We start from the raw sequence: 7,808 nt of genomic DNA, 5'->3' as shown, positions 1-7,808 counted from the left end.
ACATAAAAGTTATGGAGAAAGTTGTTTGTTTGTTTGTTTGTTTTGAGACGGAGTTTCGCGCTTGTCAGCCAGGCTGGAGTGCAATGACGTAATCTCAGCTCACTGCAACCTCCACCTCCAGGGTTCAAGCGATTCTCCAGCCTCAGCATCCCAGCCTCCCGAGTACCTGGGACTACAGATGCCCACCATCACGCCCAGCTAGTTTTTTGTTGTTGTTGTTGTTGTTTGTATTTTTAGTAGAGACAGGGTTTCACCATGTTGGCCAGGCTGCTCACGAACTCCTGACCTCAGGTGATCCGCCTCCCTCGGCTTCCCAAAGTGCTGGGATTACAGACATGAGCCACTGCGAGAGGTGACAGCGTGCTGGCAGTCCCAACAGCCCTCACTCGCTCTCGGCGCCTCCTCTGCCTGGGCTCCCACTTTGGCGGCACTTGAGGAGCCCTTCAGCCCACCGCTGCACTGTGGGAGCCCCTTTCTGGGCTGGCCAAGGCCGGAGCCCACTCCCTCAGCTTGCAGGGAGGTGTGGAGAGAGAGGCGCGAGCGGGAACCGGGGCTGCGCGGGGCGCTTGCAGGCCAGCTGGAGTTCCGGGTGGGCGTGGGCTTGGCGGGCCCCGCACTGGGAGCAGCCAGCCGGCCCTGCTGGCCCCGGGCAATGAGGGACTTAGCACCCGGGCCAGCAGCTGCGTAGGGTGTACTAGGTCCCCCAGTAGTGCCAGCCCACCGGTTCTGCGCTCAATTTCTCACCAGGCCTTAGCTGCCTTCCCGCGGGGCAGGCCTCGGGACTGCAGCACGCCATGCCTGAGCCTTCCCCCGTCTCCGTGGGTTCCTGTGCAGCCCGAGCCTCCCCGACGAGCGCCGCCCCCTGCTCCAGGGCGCCCAGTCCCATGACCACCCAAGGGCTGAGGAGTGCGAGCACATGGCGCGGGACTGGCAGGCAGCTCCACCTGCAGCCCTGCTGCGGGATCCACTGGGTGAAGCCAGCTGGGCTTCTGAGGCTGGTGGGGCCTTGGAGAACCTTTATGTCTAGCTCAGGGATTGTAAATACACCAATCGGCACTCTGTATCTAGCTCAAGGTTTGTAAACACCAATCAGCACCCTGTGTCTAGCTCAGGGTTTGTGAATCCACCAATCGACACTCTGTATCTAGCTGCTCTGGTGGGGCTGTGGGGAACCTTTATGTCTAGCTCAGGGATTGTAAATACACCAATCGGCACTCTGTATCTAGCTCAAGGTTTGTAAACACACCAGTCAGCACCCTGTGTCTAGCTCAGGGTTTGTGAATGCACCATGGACACTTTGTATCTAGCTGCTCTGGTGGGGCCTTGGAGAACCTTTGTGTCCTTACTCTGTATCTAACTAATCTGATGGGGACGTGGAGAACTTTGTATCTATCTCAGGGATTGTAAACACACCAATCAGCGCCCTGTCAAAACAGACCACTGGGCTCTACCAATCAGCAGGATGTGGGTGGGGCCAGATAAGAGAATAAAAGCAGGCTGCAGGAGCCAGCAGTGGCAACCCACTCAGGTCCCCTTCCACACTGTGGAAGCTTTGTTCTTTTGCTCTTTGCAATAAATCTTGCTACTGCTGGCTCTTTGGGTCCACACTGCTTTTATGAGCTGTGACACTCACCGCAAAGGTCTGCAGCTTCACTCCTGAAGCCAGCGAGACCACGAGCCCACTGGGAGGAAGGAACAACTCCAGACGCACTGCCTTAAGAGCTGTAACACTCACTGCGAAGGTCTGCAGCTTCACTCCTGAGCCAGCGAGACCACGAACCCACCAGAAGGAAGAAACTCCAAACACAGCTGAACATCAGAAGGGACAAACTCCAGACGCGCCCCCTTAAGAGCTGTAGCACTCACCACGAGGGTCCGCGGCTTCATTCTTGAAGTCAGTGAGACCAAGAACCCACCAATTCCAGACACAACTGCACCCAGCCATGAAAAGTTATTTTTAAAAGTCTTCATATTTACAAGTGCTGAGGTAAGTGGTCCTGCCTAACCCACGATGGTTATAAGCAACAATAGCTGAAATGGAGATCTTTTTGAAATGCCTTAAGTGATTTATTTGTGTGGGCAATTAAAAAAGATGCTAGTCTTGGCTGGGTGCGGTGGCTCACACCTGTAATCCCACACTTTGGGAGGCCGAGGCGGGAGGATTATGAGGTCAGGAGATCGAGACCAACCTGGCTAACACTGTGAAACCCTGTCTCTACTAAAAATACAAAAAAAAATTAGCCGCGCGTGGTGGCAGGTGCCTGTAGTCCCAGCTGCTCCGGAGGCTGAGGCAGGAGAATGGCGTAAACCTGAACCCAGGAGGCAGAGCTTGCAGTAAGCCGAGGTAGCGCCACTGCACTCCAGCCTGGGCGATAGAGCGAGACACCCCTCAGGAAAGAAAAAAAAAAGTTGCTAGTCTTAGAACCGGAAAAATTAAATGAGAGACTTTCAGTGGGACTTAGAAGCTTCTAAACCTCCAACTGTTTCCCCTCCTCTTACCCCGTGTGCTATTGTGGCAGTAGAGTTCTCCCTGACAACCACACAACCAGGCCTACATGACAGTCACACAGACAGGCCTGCATAGCACTTGTGTTACACAAACAGATTTCCACAGAGCTGCCTTAAAAATTGAGCAAATAGTCCAAACTAGGGAAATAGGTGCCCAGACATAAAAGCTAGAAATGAAACATATGGTCAGTAGGAGCCTTGCACAGGCTTCTCCCTAACCTGGAACAAGTCAAAATAATAGAGACAGTCTTACATTCCTAGTGCCAGGACCCATCTCGGGTAACAAAATCTGAGACAAGTCAAGGTAACAGAGGCAGCTGTTTGAATAGATTCATTGGAGAGTCTAAGGCAGCTCTCTGGGTCAAGCTGTAAAGGAGATAAGATAGAAATAATCACTCCAGGCCAGGCGCGATGACTCACACCTGTAATCCCAGCATTTTGGGAGGCTGAGGCAGGCAGATCACCGGAGGTCAGGAGTTTAAAACCAGCCTGGCCAACATGGTGAAACCCCCATCTCTACTAAAAATACAAAATTAGCCAGGCATGGTGGCACACGCCTGTAATCCCAGCTACCCAGGAGGCAGAGGCAGGAGAATCACTAGAACGCAGGAGGCAGAGGTTGCAGTGAGCCGAGATTGTGCCACTGCACTCCAGCCTGGGCGACAGAGTGAGACTCCGTCTCAAAAAAAAAAAGAAAAGAAAAGAAAGAAAGAAAAAGAAATAGTCACTCCAGTACCACAGTAGACAGGCCTTGAAGGTACTAGGACCCTTTTAATCAGACTTAGACAGCATTTTTTGCCTCTGACCTTCTAGTTGAAACAAAATTAGTTACCAGTAGACTTAAGGCGAATGATATACGGCACATAGGCACATAACCCCAACCTATGTAAGCACTAAGAAAATTGTAACTCTTTGAGTTGGTCTGTTTGAATTATCTCTGGCCTTCTCCCTGTGTCTGGTTACAGTAATAAATTCCTTTCTTTCCTAGTTTGTCTGCTTCTCCTTATCGGGCCTCAAGAAAACGCAGCCAGACCCAGTTTGGTTCCGGAAACAATATGAGTTCATCCCTTTTTCCTTGTTCACTCAGCTCCCATATATCTCTTAGGCAGAGATTTTTAGGAGTTCACAATGCACACATTTCCTTCCCTCAAAAGGGGAAAATATATATAAATGTAAAACGAAAAGAGCAAATGGAACAACTACAAAAAGAAAATGAAACTTAAGATTAAAAAATGCAGATCCAAAAATTTTTTTCTAAACTGGGAGATTAAGAAACAAAATAAAATTCTCAAACATTAATATATGCCAGGTTTTTTTGAGACTACAGCTGGCTATGTATCATGGCTGGTTCTTCTGTACATTTTAAATTGATGGACAGATTACACTAAAACAATTCAGGGCCGGGCGAGGTGGCTGAAGCCTGTAATCACAGGACTTTGGGAGGACGAGGCGGGCGGATCACTTGAGGTCAGGAGTTTGAAACCAGCCTGGCCAACTTGGCGAAACTCCATCTCTAATAAAAATACACAAATTAGCTGGGTGTGGTGGTACACACCTGTAGTCCCAGCTACTTGAGAAGCTGAGGCAGGAGTATCACTTGATCCCAGGAGGCGGACGTTGCAGTAAGCCGAGATCGTGCCACTGCACTCCAGCCTGGGTGACAGAGCAAGACTCCTTCTGAAAAAAAGAAAAAGAAAAGGAATTCAGAGCTCAGATGGTCAACTTATAACTTTAGAGTTAGCACACAGAGCCTTCTAAGTTCTCTGTTTTTTTTTCTGCCCACTTTAAATCTGCTAACTTTTCTACTGGTATTGAGATAAAGCTCACTGTTTATGGTATTGCTAATGCAAAATTACTTAGAGATTTTGTGTGTGTGTGTGTTTTTGACAATTCAGACAGTTCTAACTAAAATATAAACATTAAAATGTTAACCCTAAGATCATTTAGAACTAAAGAAAAAAGGGGCAGAAGATGTTTTTAAAATCAAACTGCCATAAGAATTGCTTTACCCAAAATTTTGATCCACAGCCTTCATTAAGTTATCTGTTGAGACAAAGTTTAAGCCATGTAAACAAGTTCCAATTTTGTCATCTGTAATATGGATCCAACTGTCTTTTATAAACTAGTAAGTTTATGCTACTCTCTCATGACTAAAATTCTAAAATAAATACTATAAAGTCTTTATGTGTGTGTATATGTTTGTTTAGATGTGTTTAAATATATGTACATATATTGTTATATGTTGTATCTATATGCTACAAAACTGACTTATAAATAGATGAGTGCTCATAAATTACTAAACCCAAGTATGTTCCAAGTTTATATGACTTAAAGAAGTCTTTAATAAATAAGTTGATGTTCAAATTATTGATAAGATAAACATTTAAATGTCTTTAAAATTGTCAACGTACATTTTTGTCTGAGTTTACTGGTCAGAAAGTTTTGTATTTCTCTCCACTAGATATTTTAAGGTGCCTGGGTTTGACACAAAGGTTATAAGACTATAAATCTGGTCAAAACCAAATGATCTTTGTTTGTGCAATTTTAATAAATAAGACATTTAATATTGTTAGCTTAATAAAAACAGCTAAATCTTCTGAGTTGTTGACAAAATACCCATATTTTAATTTAAGTTTCTCACTCGGGTGAACACCTGATAATCACAGGCTATAAAAATGTTTAACATAACCATACATAACTTTTGATAATGACTAACTTTGTCTAATATCTAAGTTTTCATAAATAGTCTAGTCAACCTATTAAAAATAAATAAATTGGGTAAGCATAAATGAGATAAATGCTTATTAAAAACTTTTTGTGTAATTCAAAATCTTAAAGTTATGTTAAATTAAATAATAGATACTCATTAAACATCTGGGTCATTTCTAATTAAGAAAAAATTATGTCCAAGCTGAGAGCCAGATCAAGAATGCAACCCCATTCACAATAGCCACAAAAGAATAAAATAACTAAGAATGCCGTTTTTTTGTTTTTGTTTTTGAGACAGAGTCTCGCTCTGTCACCCAGGCTGGAGCGTAGTGGTGCGATCTAGGTTTACTGCAAGCTCCGCCTCCCAGGTTCACACCATTCTCCTGCCTCAGCCTCCCGAGTAGCTGGGACTATAGGCGCTCGCCACCACACCCAGCTAATTTTTTGTATTTTTAGTAGAGACAGGGTTTCACCGTGTTAGCCAGCATAGTCTCGATTTCCTGACCTCGTGATCCGCCTGCCTCGGCCTCCCAAAGTGCTGGGATTACAGGCATGAGCCACCGCGCCTGGCCCAATAACTAAGAATACTGTTAAGCAAGGAGGTGAAAGACCTCTACAACTAGAGTTACAAAACACTGCTCAAAGAAATCAGAAATGACACAAGCAAATGGAAAAACATGCCATGTTCATGAATATGAAGAATCAATATTGTTAAAATGGCCATACTGCTCAAAGCAATTTACAAATTCAATGCTATTCCTATCAAACTACCAATGACATTTTTCACAGAATTAGAAAAAACTATTTTAAAATTCATATGGAAACAAAATATAGCCTGAGCAGCCAAGGCAATCCTAAGCAAAAAGAACAAAGCTGGAAGCATCACATTACCCAACTATACTACAGGGCTACAGTAACCAAAACAGCATGGTACTGGTACAAATACAAACCTATAGACCAATGGAACAGAATAGAGAGCCAAGAAACAAGTTCACACACCTACAACCATCTGATCTTTGACAAAGCTGACAAAACAAGCAATGGAAAAAGGACTCTCTATTCAATAAGTGGTGTTGAGATAACTGGCTAGCCATATGCAGAAGACTGAAACTGGACCCCTTCCTTATACCATACACAAAAATTAACCCAAGATGGATTAAGGACTTAACTGTAAAACCAAAAACTATAAAAACTCTGAAAGATAACCTAGGATATGCCATTCTGGAAATAGGACTGCAAAGATTTCATGATGAAGACGCCAAAAGCAATTGTAACAAAGCAAAAACAAAAATCAACAAATGAGACCTAATTAAACTAAAGAGCTTCTGCACAGCAAAATAAGCCATCAACAAAGTAAACAGACAACCTACAGAATGGGAGAAAATATTTGCAAACTATGCATCTGACAAAGGTCTAATACCAAGAATCTATAAGAAACTTAAATTTACAAGGAAAAACCAAGCAACCTCATTAAAAAAGTAGGCAAAAGATAAGAACAGACAGTTTTCAAAAGAAGACATACACGTATCCAAAAAGCATACAACAAAATGCTCAACATCACTAATCATTAGAGAAATGCAAATCAAAACCACAATGAGATACCATCTCACACCAGTCAGAATGACTATGATTAAAAAGTAAAAATTATATATATAGTAATAACATGCTGGAGAGGTTATGGAGAAAAGGAAATGCTTATACACTGCTTGTGGGGATGTAAATTAGTTCAGGCATTGTGGGAAGCAGTTTGACAATTTCTCAAAGGACTTAAAACAGAATTACCATTTGACCCAGCAATCCCATTATTGGGTATATACCCAAAGGAATAGAAATTGTTCTACCATAGAGACACATGCACATGTATGTTCATTGCAGCACTAGTCACAATAGCAAATACATGGAATCAACCTAAATGTCCATCAACTGGATCAAGAACATGTGGTACATATACACCATGGAATACTATGCAGCCATAAAAAAAGAATGAGACCATGTCCTTTGCAACAACAAGGATGGAACTGGAGGCCATTATCCTAAGCAAACTAACACAGGAACAGAAAAGCAAATACTGTGTGTTCTCACTTATAAATAAAAGCTAAACATTGAGGACATATAAACACAAAGAAGGGAACAACGACACCAAGGCCTACTTGAGGGTGGAGGGTGGGAAGCAAGGTGAGGACCAAAAACTACCAACTGGGTACTATGTGTATTACCTTAGTGATCAAATAATCTGTACACCAAACTCCTGCAATGTGCCATTTACCTGTGTAACAAACCTGCACATGTACGCCTGAACCTAAAATAAAAGTTAAAGAAAAGAAAAAATTATATTATAAAAAAACATGTTTCTAAACATTATAAAGTAGCTCATCTCTTTAACATACTAATTTGTGACAGACAACTCAAGATCTTACTTTCTAAGTTTCCACTAAAATTTAAGGTTACTAAAAATAAAAATTCAGGCCAGGCGCAGTGGCTCACACCTGTAATTCCAGCACTTTGGGAGGCCAAGGTGGGTGGATCATCTGAGGTCGGGAGTTCCAGACTAGCCTGGCCAACTTGGTGAAACCCCATCTCTACTAAAAATA

The 7,808-nt window shown here is 43.3% G+C and overlaps 1 long non-coding RNA gene across 1 annotated transcript; it reads left to right on the top strand.

Moving 5' to 3' along the window:
* The first annotated feature begins 1,514 nt into the window (after window positions 1–1,514).
* LOC124904644 (uncharacterized) lies at window positions 1,515–4,690 on the top strand. The gene is made up of 2 exons (XR_007067147.1): window positions 1,515–1,987; window positions 3,497–4,690. It is a non-coding gene; the product is annotated as an uncharacterized LOC124904644 (long non-coding RNA).
* Window positions 4,691–7,808: the final 3,118 nt, after the last annotated feature.

The sequence above is a fragment of the Homo sapiens genome, chromosome 19, assembly GCF_000001405.40.
Source record: "Homo sapiens chromosome 19, GRCh38.p14 Primary Assembly".
NCBI lineage: Eukaryota > Metazoa > Chordata > Mammalia > Primates > Hominidae > Homo > Homo sapiens.
The sequence above is the reverse complement of the archived record's forward strand: the minus strand, read 5'-3'. Positions and strand labels throughout refer to the sequence as shown.